General features: G+C 36.9%; 1 protein-coding gene across 12 annotated transcripts in view, besides 1 other annotated feature; it reads right to left on the bottom strand.

Moving 5' to 3' along the window:
* Nucleotides 1-18,555, bottom strand: part of CCDC15 (coiled-coil domain containing 15) — an 87,288-nt gene that overhangs the window by 63,395 nt on the left and 5,338 nt on the right. For all 12 annotated transcript variants that reach the window (NM_025004.3, XM_017018346.2, XM_017018348.2 and 9 more), the window contains 3 exons: nt 18,092-18,280; nt 2,886-2,999; nt 495-617 (listed from right to left, as the gene is read on the bottom strand). In NM_025004.3, the coding sequence (NP_079280.2) occupies nt 495-617; nt 2,886-2,999; nt 18,092-18,280 (426 nt within the window). The remainder of the gene's footprint in view (nt 1-494; nt 618-2,885; nt 3,000-18,091; nt 18,281-18,555) is intronic.
* Nucleotides 876-1,076: a silencer, noted in NCBI's record as "peak1499 fragment used in MPRA reporter construct". NCBI's record gives its function as "represses an SCP1 promoter by STARR-seq MPRAs in K562 erythroleukemia cells {active_cell/tissue: K562}" and the evidence as "EXISTENCE:reporter gene assay evidence [ECO:0000049][PMID:32103011]".

The raw sequence follows: 18,555 nt of genomic DNA, 5'->3' as shown, positions 1-18,555 counted from the left end.
CTAACTTACAAGCGGGAGCTAAACATTCAGTACATATGAACACAAAGAAGGAAACAACAGACACCAGGGCCTACTTGAGGGTGGAGGGTGAAAGGAGGGTGAGGATGGGAAAACTACCTATTAGGTAAAGTCACGTGACGAAGTAATCTGTACACCAAACCCCTGTAACATGCAATTTACCCATATGACAAATCTACACATGTATCCTTGAACCTAAAATAAAAGTTATTTTAAAAAATTAATTAAAAAATTAAAAATAAAATGCTCTAAATTAGATTGTGGTAACAGTTGCACAACCCTGTGCAAACTGTGAGTACTAAAAACCAATGAATTGTACACTTTAAATGGGTGAATTGTATGGTATATGAATTATATCTCAATAAAGTCCGTTAAAAAAAATACTGGATATCTTAACCCTTTATCCCATCCTTAGTTAGCTGTGGATACTTCTAATAAGCCAATGTCTTTCCCCTCTACTTTTTATATTTCCCTACCTGATTTTCCATATAATTCTGGTAAGGTACAGCAGCTAAAAGACCTTGATGGACCTTAATGGGCAACTCTCCTCTTATTCCTGTATTTATCCCAGTGGATGCTGGTTTCCTGGAAAGCACTTCCTGGAAAAAAAATTACTACAAATATAAATAGGTCTAGAGGAAGCAACATATTCATGAGACTAAGTTGAGTTTCTGTGAAAGATCTAAAATTATCTTAGTAGGTTTTGGTAGTCTAATACACAGTAAAGGGAAAAAACATGAGTTCTACTTCATATGTACAAACAAAGCGCTCACATATAAAACCATATGGAATAAAACAGGAGAATATATTAACTTTATAAATGACAACTTGCACCTATTCTAGCCAGTAACAATTTCAGAAGACTCATGATTTTAGTCTTGGCAACCTGCCAGAGTACAAGCAAGTATGTGTTCCACTTGTATCTCCAAATCCGGATCAATAACAACCAGACAGATTCTAATGTCACTAAAGACTAATAATGAAATAAAACCAGGGTTCAACTCAATCATAGATTGTTCTTTCTGATTTGCAAATTCCCACTTCACACAACTAAGAAGGTAGAAAATTGTTGAGATTTGAGGGAAAGCTTGATACAAGTAATAAGAAAAATTTCACCAATTTCTTAGATCATTCCCAATTGTATTGAGTAGATTTGTTTTTCATATTTTTACCTGAAAAACATATATGCTTTCTTTGGAAGCAAGTAGGTAGCCTGAATTCATCATTATCACCATAACAATAATGAATTACACTTAAATGGCACCTCTGACGTAAAAAACTGGTTTATACAAAGATGTTATCTCAGACTTAATCCTCCCGTCTATTGGATAATTATTTCAATCAGAACTGTGAATAGTACACTTTCTGGAAAAACACCAGTTGAAAGGTCTGAGCATGTTCCAAGCAATATAAATATCCATCTCTAAGATCTGATAACTGTGTTTTTTTTTCTGATTTAGTAGAAAGTGTCTAATCACCTCATCTAACAGTACCCTGGAGTCAGTCTAATGGCCCAAACTATAGTACTACCAAACCACGATAGGTATGAAAACTGTCAAGAAACCAACATCTGAAAATAATTTAGGTACAAAAGAAACTCTGAGGAGCCACAAGGCAATGCTAGAAAAAGACAACCATATAAACGCACGTGGGATGTGTTGCCATACATGGACACATATCCACGCCCACTTGTTTTTTAAATTTAACTATAAATTTCTTAGTTGTAATTAAAGAGAAAAACATTACAGTTTAGTATTCAACCAATTGCCAACATATATGAGACAAACATTTTTAATGGTTGGGTCAAGATATGGAAAAAAATACAAAATTATATATCTATATATTTATATATTATATATATTATATGCATATTCCAGGAAAATATAAGAGTATACTAATTAGGAAGTAAAACTGGGAAAGAACTAAATGAGGCAGTTGATGATGGCAAAAAAATAACATATTTATTGGCAAAAAAACATAATTTATTAAAAAATAAATTAATGGTCTATTTTACTAGATGCTGCCTATAAAACATTAATGCCAAAATTAAGTACACACAGGAAAACACATAAATTTAGGATCCAAATTTGTGAATTCTGAGGTAGGCACCAAAACAATGTCATTTTATAAGTATAGACTTACATATCCTCCTAAGCCTAGCTCCACACTCACTTAAGTTTTGAATCAAAAGAATTTTTCTTTTTAAAAATTAATAGTTTCAATTTTTTCCTGATTAGAAAGTGACATACTTTATGACAATTTTTAAAAATAAAAAACAGAAGAAAATCACCTGTAATACTACTACCCAGAAATAATCAGTATTAGCCTCTTGTGCCATTTGTACCTAGGCTTTTGTCTATGCACATGGAACTCTTTCCATCTTTTTATTTTGCTGTATTTCTCTTCATAGCACTTATCACTTGAAATTATATTCTATATTTATTTGCTTGTTTATTATATGCTTCCCAACTAGCACAGAAGCTCCTTGAGGGATCTTTGTCTGTCTTTTCACCACTATAAGTCCTGTTTCTAGAACAATGCTGGCAATCACAGACATTCCATAAGTATTTGTTGAATACATATACATATATTTTAATTAAGATCATATCATACTTAATTTCATATCCAACTTTTTTCTTAACTTTATATCACAGACACTTTCCCTTATCTTCAGATATTCTTTGAAAATATTTTTTAGAATGGCTGCATATGGATATGTCACAATTTACTCAAGCATCCCCTACTATTGGGTATTTAAGGCTATTTCCAATTATTTTACAGTTCTAAATTATGCTGAGATATAAGTAAATCTTTATCTGTATTTTTTACCTGTATTTTTTTAAATCATGTATTAGAAATTAATTTACCTCTCTGGTAAGAAAGCTTTTCCTTCCATCATCTGGAAACACTGATCCCTTTTTTTTAATCACGGTTTTAAAGGATGCTAGCCGGTGACGTGCCTGTTTCATAGTTTCACTAAGCTGCCAGGGAAAGGGGGAAGAAAGCAAACAAAAGCAGGATAAGTTTTAATTCCAAATGCACTAAGTGTTCCAACAGGAAAACAGGTCCCTATTATTAAAAAATGCCAGATCTAAGACAACAGGATTACTTGCAAAGGAGACTTTGATGTGCTGATAGTGTGGTACAACATTATTGTCATTATTCTAGAGATTGTACTTTGTAACTTGGTTTAAGGGCGGTTACTCAAACTGTTTTTTAAGAAATAATGTATACTTTATATAAAGCATGTACACAAAAATATGAAAACCTAAAGTCTGAATTAATACACTTGGAGATCACTGACCAGACACATTCCTTACCTTCTATCCACCTTTGTCAATAAGGAGTTATTTCTTCAAGTGCTCCATATATGCTTAATTGCTTTCATCACTGCTTGCTAGGACTCTATTCCTAGTTTCCTTAAAGCCCTTTTATCCCCAATTTACATGACTCCTTTCACCACCCTCAACATTTGAAGACCATAGCTACTTAAAGTCTTTTCTTGAATCTCCCTTCCTCTTCCTCCAAGAAGCCTTCCTAAATTAACTTAGAACACAAATTCAAACATTTCAAAAGAACCAATTTGTTTCAACTACTTTAAGTAACACCTAATAAATGACTACTAATATTAAATGTTGATTTCGTGTTCATTCCTTATCTCCAGAAATTTCAGTATGCGGCTATTTTGATTTCTTTTTCAGAGAAGCACAGCCTATTTTATATCTCACAAATTTGCAAAGAATATCTCATTAGGGAAACAAATAAAACATATATCATTTTTAAGATAAGCACTGTAGGCCAGCCGTGGTGGCTCACACCTGTAATCCCAGCACTTTGGGAGGCCAAGGCAGGCGGATCACCTGAGGTCAGGAGTTCGAGACCGAGACTAGCCTGACCAATGTGGTGAAACCCCATCTCTACTAAAAATAAAAAAATTAGCCGGGCATGGTGGTGCACACCTGTAATCCCAGCTACTCAGGAGGCTGAGGCGGGAGAACTGCTTGAACCCAGGAGGCAGAGGCTGCAGTGAGACGAGATAGCGCCACTGCACTCCAGCCTGGGCAACAGAGACTCCATCTTAAAAAAATAAATAAATTAAAATTAAAATTGAAAAATAAAGATAAGCACTGTATCACGTGGAGGAAAAGTATATCCTGTACTAGTCAGTAAAATTATGGCAAAGCCAAGATCGCTACTAATCCACTCATTGGAAGTTTAATAATATCAATTATCCCTTGAAGAGAAATGATGGTTATGACTTCTCTACAGAAAATACAAAAAAAATTTGCTGTAGTGGCACACGCCTGTAGTCTGTTACTCAAGAGGCTGAGGTAGGAGAGGTGGAAGGATTGCTTGAGCCTGGAGTTCAAGGCTGCAGTGAGCCAAGATTGCGCCACCGCACCCTAACCTGGACGACAGAGCAAGACTCTGTCTTAAAAAAAAATAAAATAAATTTTATGGCTTTATTAATAATTACCTAAGGATGAAAACACTCTACTCTACCAGCCCAGATTTTTTTACAGCACATCACCTCTATTTAAGCTTGTTTTCAGAGGTCTATAACTCTGTCCAGAGAAATCAGATTGAAACATACTACTCTTTGTTTTGCCAAGCGGAAGACTTCTAGATTTGGTCAGCTGCGGAGTGGCCAAAGGGAATCAAGATAGAGCTGTTCACAATGCAAAAAGAGATATGTGTAGTTGAAATTATAAAAAAAAAAAAATAGCCCCATGACTATGCCTCCTTTTATTCATTGACACTTAAGGTAGGTGTTATTACCCTGCACCATGTGACCAAGGATTCAAAAATCCCCATTGTAACAAATTTGAAATAGGGATTCAGAATTTTCATTTCCCATCAAGTCCAAACCTCTATTAGAGTCACATTGATTATAGGCCCTTAAGCAGGATATTTCAACTGCTCCAAAAGCTAGAATATACATTATTTTTCTTCTGTTTCTCTGTAGTTACCATAACCCTTCACCAAGCCTCAATCTTGGAAAGGCTTTTTCAATGACATGCTTTGAGGACTGTCATTGGGTGAATAATGGCCACCCAAAGATACCAGGTGTTAATCCCTAGAACCTGTAAATATTACTTTATAAGAAAAAAGGGCCTTTGCAAATGTGATTAAGTTAAGGATCTTGAGATCTTAAGGACATTGAGAAGATAATCCTGGATTATCCATACGGGTCCTAAATGCCATCAAAAGTGTCCTTACGAGAGAGGTAGAGGAAGATTCAACATACAGAAAAGGAGGTGATGTGAAAATGGCATGCAGAAATTGATGTGATGCAGCCACAAGAAAAGGAATGCCAGCAGACACCAAAAGCTGGAAATGTCAAGAAACAAACTTTCCCCTAGAACCTGAGGATGGAGCACAGCCCTGAGGACACCTTCGTTTTGGTTTAGTGAAGTGGATTCTGGACTTCTGGCCTCCAGAACTGAGAGATAATAAATTTCTGTAATTTTTTAAGTTATTAACTTTGAGGTAATGTGTTACAGCAGCCACCAGAAACTAATACAAAGACTAAAGTTAATGTTAACAAGCAATTTAACAAAAACATAGAACCCAGGGGGATATTATAAATTAAATTATGCAATAATTCAAATAAACAAGTAGATAAGCACATTTCTCTGCAAGATGATGTTGGTCATTACATATATATGTAATTGTGTGAATGTCTGTGGTATATATATACATTTGTATGTATACTTACATATATGTTTAAATGTACATATGCATATGTGCATGTGTTGTATGTGTGTAAATACTCAAAACATAAAATTTGACCAAAAGTCTTTTCTATCTAGAACCTTAGGCACACTATTGATTCTTTTGTAGTTAACTGTTATTAACAGACTACGATTAAATCTCTAAGGCTTAGATTCCCTGATGAAGATGAATTACTCATAATTAGATAAATAATTAGATAAATAGAAAACCTAGCAAATGAAAAATCAATATAACTCCAGATAAAACAAAAAGCCATACATAGACGGAAACATAATCATAGTTTACTCATAGATCAGCTGTGACTAATGTTTATATAGTCATAACAACATAAATGTTTAATATAGATCTAAGCAAAATTACAATATAACTATAAAGAGAGGACGGGAGTGGAAAGAGTGCATGTGTAGTGGTGGCAGGGGAGAGAAAGAGGAATAAATCCTCATCCTTCCTAGTGGTAAATCAATAAAAAATGCCTAAATTTTTTTTAATTAAGAAGGAGTATTACTAGCATGTTGCTCAGAAATATGAATATTAACACCAAAAGACAAAACTAAAAGAATGCAAATAGTTGCTTCTGAGGAAGATGAGGAAATGTGCAAAGTACTTATCTTTTTTAATAACAATGCATGCAACTATTTACTTTACTTGTTCAAACTATGTACATATATACTTTCAATAAAACTCAGTGTAAAAAATGAGAAAAAAAATCCCAGACAATATCCCTCAAAAAGCTTCCTCTCATGAACAACATAAACATATAAATGCATTTTTGGTTCTCATATTGCATATATAAATACATATGTACATATATCAGACCTCAGGAATATCCTACAGAACATGGGCCTAAATTTTAGCTTGGAGCAGTTTGTTATTACCGACCTTCTGAAGCCTACTTCTGTCAACTCATCAAAGTCATTCTCCATCCAGCTTTGTTCTGTTGCTGGCGAGGAGCTGTGACCCTTTGGAGAAGAGATGCCCTGGTTTTTAGAATTTTCAGCTTTTCTGCTCTGGTTTCTCCACATCTTTGTGGTTTTATCTACCTTTGGTCTTTGATGATGGTGACCTACAGATGGGGTTTTGGTGTGGATGTCCTTTTTGTTGATGTCGATGCTATTCCTTTCTGTTTGTTAGTTTTCCTAACTAACAAACCATTGCCAACAAAACTTTGCTTGCACTGACCCCTAGAGACTATATCCCAGGTATACCAGACAACCAATCACAGTGCCTTCTAAGGAATACTGCCAGGCCTACAAGCCCTATTAAAGGGGCGGCCTTAGGCAACTTCCTCCCTAGCCTTAGCTGACTGGAGCAAGGGTTGTGTAGTAATATGTCAAATAAAAATAGGCCTTGATGCAATGTCTTCTGCACACCAAAAAAAATGTCTATTTTGCACACAGAAACATAACTTTAACAATTAGCAAAAGCACTTCTTTGTAACAAAACGAAAATTGTAATATATAAATTTTGAGATTTAAATCTTAAAATCTAAAGCAAACTATGATTAGATAGTAAAATTTAAAGCATCAAGCAAATATGAAGGATAAAATTTGAGAAATATAGATATCTAACTAGGACACTGTTCATATTTTCTTCAGTTCTTTTTAACTTGTTTGTGTAATTTTTTAGCCAATCAAGAATAAGATAGAATTTACATGTAACTGTATAAACAAAACAATTAGTAATACTATGTAGGTCATGGGAAAAGAGTATAGATGAGATCTAATATTTATAGAATTTTACCTACTTTATTATCATGGAGGACTAATACCAATGTAAAGTGTATTGTTAAGGCCATAAAAATCTAATCAAAGTTGAATTCTATTCAAGTATAATGTAGTTTATTTGCAAATGATATCATACTGATTTTTAAATGTGTTAGACTTTTCAGTGGCCAGAAAATACCATACATTAAAAGTTGAACTCACATGAGCCACTTTTTATAGCCCATGAATCCCAGTGCAATGCAGCGAGTTGCATTATCTTTCTTTTGTCACAATTGCTATCAATCTATAAGATGGCCAGTAATGTAGACCTAATGCAAAAAGGCAAGCTGGGCCAATAAATATTCCTTACCTCAGATAATAAACTAGGAAATATCCAGAGAAAAGTTAGAGAGAGGACTTGAACATAAAAGGTCCTAAACTGGAAAAAAGAGGCTAACGGGTCCTCAAGTATACCAAAGTTATGAAGCTGTGATGAGGAGATGACAATACCAGTTAATGGTAGAGAAATGAGAAAATAAGAGGGAAGCATACATGTAGAAACAAGGTGACCAACTATACTAGTTTACCTAGAACTGTCTCAGTTTTAGCACTGAAAAGTCCCATGTCCTGGAAACCCCTCGATCTTAGACCAATAGGGAAGGTTGGTCACCCTATGAGAAGAACTGAATCAATCAAGCTACTGATTAAATATTAGTGTGAAGATCAAATATCTCATGCTCTTGGGGTCACTGGAGCTCACATCCAGAAAAACTCACATCCAGAAAAACTCTCCAGTTGCATTCCTCAAAGGAGTTTGGATTTGTGTGAGATTCTGATTCTTCCCTTATTAACCCATGTGTATTCTTCAAATAAACTTTCCCCTTGTTTGGGTTAGCCTGAGTTCTTGCAGGCAAAAGTGTCTGACTGAAATACTAGTTTTTTCAATGGTAGATTACAAGAATTTAGCAGGCTATTTCACATTACTTAAAGCTTTACTACAAAAAGTAATTATTTCCATGGTTTTAAAAAGCTGGAAAACTAGCACTGTAAAGAGAGAATAAAAATAGAAATAAGATAGTAAAAGATTCAGTGAGAAACAAAAAGCTGGAATAAACCATGCTAGAAAACAGTAGCAAACTGAATAGGGACAGATCAATAAAAAGTTATTATATGGTAAGACTAAAACAATGATCAGTTGTTCTTCAATTCCTCACCAAAATGCCGCTTTCAAGGGACATCACAGAAACTGAATCCCTAAAGATAAATATCAGTCCTAATGAAAACAAAATACTGGTTCTATATATTATAAGACACTTGAAATTTCTTCCAGTCTACAATTCTAGCTCCTACCTTTAGGCAACTAATCTTAACTGACCTTTGAACAAGTAGGTAATACCAAGTATTATCAAGCAGAGGGTGAGGTAAGGGGTGCGGATTAAGAGCACTAGTGGCCAAATCATATTTAAAATACAGTATTGTGTTGTTTTTGAGGTCCTATTTCAGAAGAATATTGAAAAACAAAATAGTATTCAGAAGAAATCAATAAGGCATTAGGAATATAGAAACCCAAAAAAGAAAAATGATAACTATAATCAAATACTTGAAGTGCTCTCAGATGCTATCTTATTTTTTATTACCTGAGAGGGCAAAATTAAGACCAATGGATAAAAGTTATAGGGAGGAAGATTTTTGACTCAACATGTTGAAAAAATAGTTGCAATAATTTCAAGTCTTCTAAAAATAAAATGATCAGTCTGAAAAAGTAATGAGTTGTCCAATAGTGGAGGTGTTGTGGCAGGAATTAGATGGCCACATATGGAGATAATATAAAAAGAATTGGGGGGTCCATTCCAAGATGGCTGAATAGGAACAGCTCCGGTCTGCAGCTCCCAGCGTGATCGACGCAGAAGACAGGTAGATTTCTGCATTTCCAACTGAGCTACCTGTCATCTCCTTGGGACTGGCTGGACAGTGGGTGCAGCCTACGGAGGGTGAACCGAAGCAGGGTGGGGCATCGCCTCACCCAGGAAGTGCAAGCAGTCGGGGGATTTCCCTTTCCTAGCCAAGGGAAGCCATGACAGATGGTACCTGGAAAATCGGGACACTCCCGCCCTAATACTGCGCTTTTCCAACAGTCTTAGCAAATGGCACACCAAGAGATTATACCCCGCACCTGGCTTGGCAGGTCCCACACCCACAGAGCCTTGCTCACTGCTAGCGCAGCAGTCCGAGATTAAACTGCGAGGCAGCAGCCTGGCTGGAGGAGGGGCGTCCGCCATTCCTGAGGCTTCAGTAGGTAAACAAAGTGTCTAGGAAGCTCGAACTGGGTGGAGCCCACTGCAGCTCAACGAGGCCTGTCTGCCTCTGTAGACTCCACCTCCAGGGTCAGGGCATAGCTGAACAAAAGGCAGCAGAAACTTCTGCAGACTTAAACGTCCCTGTCTGACAGCTCTGAAGAGAGCAGTGGTTCTCCCAGCATGAAGTTTGAGCTCTGAGAACGGACATACTGCCTCCTCAAGTGGGTTCCTGACCCTCCTGTAGCCTAACTGGGAGACACCTCCCAGTAGGGACCGACTGACACCTCACACAGCCAGGTGCCCTCTGAGACGAAGCTTCCAGAGGAAGGATCAGGCAGCAATATTTGCTGTTCTGCAATATTTGCTGTTCTGCAGCCTCCACTGGTGATACCCAGGCAAACAGGATCTGGAGTGGACCTCCAGCAAACTCCAACAGACCTGCAGCTGAGGGACCTGACTGTTAGAAGGAAAACTAACAAACAGAAAGGAATAGCATCAACATCAACAAAAAGGACATCCACACCAAAACTCCATCTGTAGGTCACCATCATCAAAGACCAAAGGTAAATAAAACCACAAAGATGGGGAGAAACCAGAGCAGAAAAGCTGAAAATTCTAAAAACCAGAGCACTTCTTCTCCTCCAAAGGATCACAGCTCCTCGCCAGCAACGGAACAAAGCTGGATGGAGAATGACTTTGACTAGTTGGCAGAAGTAGGCTTCAGAAGGTCAATAATGACAAACTTCTCCGAGCTAAAGGAGGATGTTTGAACCCATCGCAAGGAAGCTAAAACCCTTGAAAAAAGATTAGACGAATGGCTAACTAGAATAAACAGTGTAGAGAAGATCTTAAATGACCTGATGGAGCTGAAAACCATGCACGAGAACTACGTGACGAATGCACAAGCTTCAGTAGCCAATTTGATCAAGTGGAAGAAAGGGTATCAGTGACTGAAGATCAAATTAATGAAATGAAGTGAGAAGTTTAGAGAAAAAAGAATAAAAAGAAATGAACAAAGCCTCCAAGAAATATGGGACTATGTGAAAAGACCAAATCTATGTTTGATTGGTGTACCTGAAAGTGACAGCGAGAATGGAACCAAGTTGGAAAACAGTCGTCAAGATATTATCCAGGAGAACTTCCCCAACCTAGCAAGGCAGGTCAACCTTTAAATTCAGGAAATACAGAAAACACCACAAAGATACTCCTCGAGAAGAGCAACCCCAAAACACATAATTGTCAGATTCACCAAGGTTGAAATGAAGGAAAAAATGTTAAGGTCAGCCAGAGAAGGTCGGGTTACCCACAAAGGGAAGCCCATCAGACTAACAGCGGATCTCTCGGCAGAAACTCTACAAGCCAGAAGAGAGTGGGGGCCAATATTCAACATTCTTATAGAAAAGAATTTTCAACCCGGAATTTCATATCCAGCCAAACTAAGCTTCAAAAGTGAAGAAATAAAATCCTTTACAGAGAAGCAAATGCTGAGAGATTTTCTCCCCACCAGGCCTGCCTTACAAGAGCTCCTGAAGGAAGCACTAAACATGGAAAGGAACAACCAGTACCAGCCACTGCAAAAACATGCCAAATTGTAAAGACCATCGATGCTAGGAAGAAACTGCATCAACTAATGGGAAAAATAACCAGCTAACATTATAATGACAGGACCAAATTCACACATAACAATATTAACCTTAAATGTAAATGGGCTAAATGCCCCAATTAAAAGACACAGACTGGCAAATTGAATAAAGAGTCAAGACCATCAGTGTGCTATATTCAGGAGACCCATCACACGTGCAGAGGCACATATAGCCTCAAAATAAAGGGATGGAGGAAGATCTACCAAGCAAATGGAAAACAAACAAAAAAAAAAAGCAGGGGTTGCAATCCTAGTCTCTGATAAAACAGACTTTAAACCAATAAAGATCAAGAGACAAGGCCATTACATAACGGTAAAAGGATCAATTCAACAAGAAGAGCTAACTATCCTAAATGTATATACACCCAATACAGGAGCACCCAGATTCATAAAGCAATTCCTTAGAGACCTACAAAGAGACTTAGACTCCCACACAATAATAATGGGAGACTTTAACACCCCACTGTCAATATTAGACAGATCAACGAGAGAGAAGGTTAACAAGGATATACAGGACTTGAACTCAGCTCTGCAACAAGTGGACCTAATAGACACCTACAGAACTCTCCACCCCAAATCAACAGAATATACATTCTTCTCAGCACCACATCGCACTTATTCCAAAATTGACCATATAGTTGGAAGTAAAGCACTCCTCAGCAAATGTAAAAGAACAGAAATCACAACAGACTGTCTCTCAGATGACAGTGCAATCAAATTAGAACTCAGGATTAAGAAACTCACTCAAAACCACACAACTACATGGAAACTGGACAACCTGCTCCTGAATGACTACTGGGTAAATAACAAAATGAAGGCAGAAATAAAGATATTCTTTGAAACCAATGAGAACAGAGACACAACATACCAGAATCTCTCGGACACATTTAAAGCAGTGTGTAGAGGGAAATTTATAGCACTAAATGCCCACAAGAAAAAGCAGGAAAGATCTAAAATCGTCACCCTAACATCACAATTAAAAGAACTAGAGAAGCAAGAGAAAACAAATTCAAAAGCTAGCAGAAGGCAAGAAATAACTAAGATCAGAGTAGAACTGAAGGAGATAGAGACACAAAAACCCTTCAAAGAATCAATGAATCCAGGAGCTGGTTTTTTGAAAAGATCAACAAAATTGATAGACCGCTAGCAAGATTAATAAAGAAGAAAAGAGAGAAGAATCAAATAGACACAATAAAAAATGATAAAGGGGATATCACCACCAATCCCACAGAAATGCAAACTACCATCAGAGAATACTACAAACACCTCTACGTAAATAAACTAGAAAATCTAGAAGAAATGGATAAATTCCTCCACACATACACCCTCCCAAGACTAAACCAGGAAGAAGTTGAATCCTTGCACAGACCAATAACAGGCTCTGAAATTGAGGCAATAATTAATAGCCTACCAACCAAAAAAAGTCCAAGACCAGATGGATTCACAGCCAAATTCTACCAAAGGTACAAAGAGGAGCTGGTACCATTCCTTCTGAAACTATTCCAATCAATAGAAAAAGAGGGAATCCTCCCTAACTCATTTTATGAGGCCAGCATCATCCTGATACCAAAGCCTGGCAGAGACACAACAAAAAAAGAGAATTTTAGACCAATATCCCTGATGAACATCGATGCAAAAATCTTCAATAAAATACTGGCAAACTGAATCCAGCAGCACATCAAAAAGCTTATCCACCAAGATCAAGTTGGCTTCATCCCTGGGATGCAAGGCTGGTTCAACAAATGCAAATCAATAAACGTACGCCATCACATAAACAGAACCAAAGACAAAAACCACATGATTATCTCAATAGATGCAGAAAAGGCCTTTGACAAAATTCAACAGCCCTTCATGCTAAAAACTCTCAATAAACTAGGTATTGATGGGGCATATCTCAAAATAATAAGAGCTATTTATGACAAACCTACAGCCAATATCATACTGAATGGGCAAAAACTGGAAGCATTCCCTTTGAAAACTGGCACAAGACAGCGATGCCCTCTCTCACCACTCCTACTCAACACAGTGTTAGAAGTTCTGACCAGGGGAATCAGGCAAGAGAAAGACATAAAGGGTATTCAATTAAGAAAAGAGGAAGTCAAATTGTCCCTGTTTGCAGATGACATGATTGTATATTTAGAAAACCCCATCGACTCAGCCCAAAATCTCCTAAGCTCATAAGCAACTTCAGCAAAGTCTCAGGATACAAAATCAATGTGCAAAAATCACAAGTATTCCGACACACCAATAACAGACAAACAGCCAAATCATGAGTGAACTCCCATTCACAACTGCTTCAAAGAGAATAAAATACCTAGGAATCCAACTTACATGAAGGGATGTGAAGGACCTCTTCAAGGAGAACTACAAACCACTGCTCAACTAAATAAAAGAGGACACAAACAAATGGAAGAACATTCCATGCTCATGGACAGGAAGAATCAATATCGTGAAAATGGCCATACTGCCCAAGGTAATTTATAGATTCAGTGCTATCCCCATCAAGCTACCACTGACTTTCTTCACAGAACTGGAAAAAACTACTTTAAAGTTCATATGGAACCAAAAAAGAGCCCGCATTGCCACGACAATCCTAAACAAAAAGAACAAAGTTGGAGGCATCACGCTACCTGACTTCAAACTATATTACAAGGTTACAGTAACCAAAACAGCATGGTACTGGTACCAAAACAGATATATAGACAAATGGAACAGAACAGAGGCCTCAGAAATAACACCACACATCTACAACCATCTGATCTTTGACAAATCTGACAAAAGCAAGAAATGGGGAAAGGATTCCCTATTAATAAATGGTGCTGGGAAAACTGGCTAGCCATATGTAGAAAGCTGAAACTGGATCCCTTCCTTACACCTTATACAAAAGTTAATTCAAGATGGATTAAAGACTTAAATGTTAGACCTAAAACCATAAAAACTCTAGATGAAAACCTAGGCAATACCATTCAGGACACAGGCATGGGCAAGGACTTCATGACTAAAACACCAAAAGCAATGGCAACAGAAGCCAAAATTGACAAATGGGATCTAATTAAACTAAAGAGCTTCTGCACAGCAAAAGAAACTACCATCAGAGTGAACAGGCAACCTACAGAATGGGAAAAAATTTTTGCAATCTACACATTTGACAAAGGGGTAATATCCAGAATCTACAAAGAACTTACACAAATTTACAAGAAAAAATCAAACAATCCCATCAAAAAGTGGGCAAAGGATATGAACAGACACTTCTCAAAAGAAGACACTTATGCAGCCAACAGACACATGAAAAAATGCTCATCATCACTGGCCATCAGAGAAATGTAAATCAAAACCACAATGAGATACCATCTCACACCAGTTAGAATGGCAATCATTAAAAAGTCAGGAAACAACAGGTGCTGGAGAGGATGTGGAGAAATAGGAACACTTTTACACTGTTGGTGGGACTGTAAATTAGTTCAACCATTGTGGAAGACAGTGTGGCGATTCCTCAAGGATCTAGAACTAGAAATACCATTTGACCCAGCCATCTCATTACTTGGTATATACCCAAAGGATTATAAATCATGCTACTATAAAGACACATGTGTTTATTGCAGCACTATTCACAATAGCAAAGGCTTGGAACCAACCCAAATGTCCATCAGTGATAGACTGGATTAAGAAAATGTGGCACATATACACCATGAAATACTATGCAGCCATAAAAAAGGATGAGTTCATGTCCTTTGTAGGGACATGGATGAAGCTGGAAACCATAATTCTAAGCAAACTATCTCAAGGACAGAAAACCAAACACCGCATGTTCTCACTCATAGGTCGGAATTGAACAATGAGAACACTTGGACACAGGGTTGGGAACATCACACACCAGGGCCTGTCGTGGCATGGTGGGAAGCGGGGAGGGATAGCATTAGGAGAAATACCTCATGTAAATGACAAGTTAATGGATGCAGCACACCAACATGGCACATGTATACATATGTAACAAACCTGCACGTTGTGCACATGCACCCTAGAATTTAAAGTATAATAAAAAAAAAAAAAGAACTGAATTCCTTGGACAGAGAAAGATAGGACCAGATAATATTCTTTTTTAACATTTAATTAAAAATATAAATAAATTCAAACCTATGGAAAACTTCAAACATATACAGAAGTAATCAGAACACTATAATGAACCACCATGGACAGATATGGATACCTCACTTTAGCACTATCAACTCCTAGCCAATCTTGCTTCATCCGTAACTCCCTACTTTACCTCATTCTTTTATTATTTAAGTATATTCCAGACATCAAATACTTTCATGTATAAATGTTTCAACATGTCAGATGAATGTTTGAAACTCTTCCAACTCCAAGATCACATGTTTCTATAACACCAACACGAGAAAACTGAGACGTGTACTAACATTCAGAAAGTGAATTATGTGTACCATTTACCCAACCAGTTCTAGATAAACTAAGGGAGTTCGTGCCTGAACTGTCTCATTGTCTAGTTTCACGGTGACATCTAGTGGATAAAAACTGCAACAGAAGTGGTAAGATCAGAAAGCATCTATTGTCATGGAGTCATATGGACAAAGTTTACAGGCTCAAAATAGTTAAGTCACTGAGCATTCTTCAGTAGTTCATGTCCTTTTAAAAAAAAAAGTGTGGGGGTATTATAAAAACTTTAAAAAATCTTGTGACATTTAAGGTTTTTCATAACCTGATTTCCTCCTCCTTATCCAACCCCATTTTTGGTTATTCTCCATTATAAACTACCAATTAGAAAGGTTCCATTACTTATTCCCAAATACACCTGGCTCATTGGAGATTCTAGGCTTTTTTTTTGTTTGGGTGGTTTTTAAGAAAAAATTATCTCGGCCAGGTGTGGTGGCTCACACCTGTAATCCCAGCACTTTGGGAGGCCAAGGCAGGCGGATCCCTTGAGCTCAGGAATTTGATACCAGCCTGGCCAACATGGTGAAACCCCATCTCTACTAAAAATACAAAAATTAGCCAGTCATGGTGGCAGGCACCTACCCCAGCTACTCAGGAGGCTGAGGCAGGAGAATCAGGAGATTCTCTTGAACTCAGGAGGAGGAGGTTGCAGTGAGCCAGGACTGCACCACTGCACTACAGCATGGGCAACAGAGTGAGACTCCGTCTCTAAGAAAAACAAATTCTCTTGAATTTACCAATACAAAATGTGTAGTTCAAGTCTATCTCTCCCATGAATTCTTCCCCTACTGTTTCCTTAAAAATTTCTGAACTCCCATAGCACAACTTTATTGCAAAACACAGAAAATCTCTCTATATTATTATCTGATACAATGAGTGGTCTATTAGTTTTGTATTTCTACCTGAAAATATAAACCCATGGAAGGTCCTATTTTACATTTCCTTAGTATCGCTACAATCCATAACAAACAGCATAGGCAAATACTGCTGACTGATGAGTTCTATTTTTGTATTAAACAGATGAAGTAAAATCCTCACTACAGTGGGACTAACAGCTACAAGCACCACGAAAGCAAGGACTGTGTCTGTCTTAAGTCAATGTTCTATTCCTTGTACTTTATGCAGTGCCTGGCTCAATAAATATTTGCTAAACAAATAAAAATGATTATTACAAACTGAACAATGACAAGAAAGAGTCAAATAGTTGTGGACAAAGAAAAAAATTTTAATAGTAGTTCAACATGATAATGTGTGCTTCTAAACTTTTCCTATTTATACTAATAGCACAATTAAATTTTGACCAAGTATGTTAAGCAGTAATACAGCTTTTATTTTCACATACTCATAATTTTCCATATTTTCTCTCTTCCTCTCATTATTTCTAGTAATACATTTTAAATAAGATGAAGAACAATTACTGAAGCAGAGTTGAAGACTGTATCAACTGGACAAAAGCTCAGGTATACTAAGGTGGGGGCTAAATGGACAGAGTCAAGCAATGTGAATGGATGAAATCTACTCACAGTGGTTAATTTTTAAATATTAGGTATATAAAATGAGTCATTAAATAAAAATTACATTTTTCCAAAAACTCTGGATATGTTACGAATTTACTATGTATTATTCTTTAACCTACAACTATAGATTCATTTATTGTGATAATCAGATTAAAAAACAAAAATAAGAAAAATGAGACAAAGATAAATAATAAATGAAATGCCACCTATGTATACTGAACTTCTTTGCAACGAAGGTAAGAATTATTTCTCTCTGTAAATTACAAACTAATAGTAGCTTGCCTAGAATATAATTTCAATATAACTTGGAAAATCCATGTTCTTGACCTAAAGTGCTTTCTAATAGGTTTTGAATTCTAGCACTTTGGCACTTTTCTTTTTTTTTTTTTTTTTTTTTTTTTTTTTTGAGACGGAGTCTCGCTGTCGCCCAGGCTGGAGTGCAGTGGCGCAATCTCGGCTCACTGCAGGCTCCGCGGCACTTTTCTTTAGATAATTTTAGAGTATCTTACCAAACACAAATGAATTTAAATTTAAAATTTTTAAAAAGCATTATCCCACTATTCCCCACTTTACAAAGCTAAAAAAAAAAAAAAAGGGGGATGATTATCAAAAGTGAAGCTGAGTGTGATAACTCTTAATCCCTACCTCATACCCTAGATGTCATATTTATAGTTTAGGGGATAGGGAAAATATCATAGACATAAAATAAAAAGAACAGGTACTTACAGCCTGGGCTTGTTGTTGGAATAATTCGTTCTGATTCTCTTCATCCTCTATTCCATCCCCAGGCATCAGGGAAGGAGGTAACCTAGAACTTCCAATAGCAACATTCAAATTGTTTGGAAAAACACTTGTCCTTTTGGAAGTTAAGTGTGTTGCTGAAGACTGCATGGCTATGGAGCCTTCTTTTTGTGCCTACACGAAAGAAGAAAGGGGGATAGTAACATTCTACCCCAATCCAGAGCAATCAAATAATGCCTCTAAAGCAGTTCAGAAGATTTTAAATTGGGGTGGGGGGCAGGGGAGAGGCTTTAGCTGGCAGAGAAACTAACATTTACCAGGCACCTCCCATGTGCTAATAATTTAGGTTATCTCATCTAACTCTCACACAATCCTATGAGAGAAGTATCATATCCTTATTTTATGGATGAAGAAACTACAATCAGTGAAGTTAAGTAATTAGCCAAAAG

The sequence above is a fragment of the Homo sapiens genome, chromosome 11 (assembly GCF_000001405.40).
Source record: "Homo sapiens chromosome 11, GRCh38.p14 Primary Assembly".
Taxonomy (NCBI): domain Eukaryota; kingdom Metazoa; phylum Chordata; class Mammalia; order Primates; family Hominidae; genus Homo; species Homo sapiens.
The sequence above is the reverse complement of the archived record's forward strand: the minus strand, read 5'-3'. Positions and strand labels throughout refer to the sequence as shown.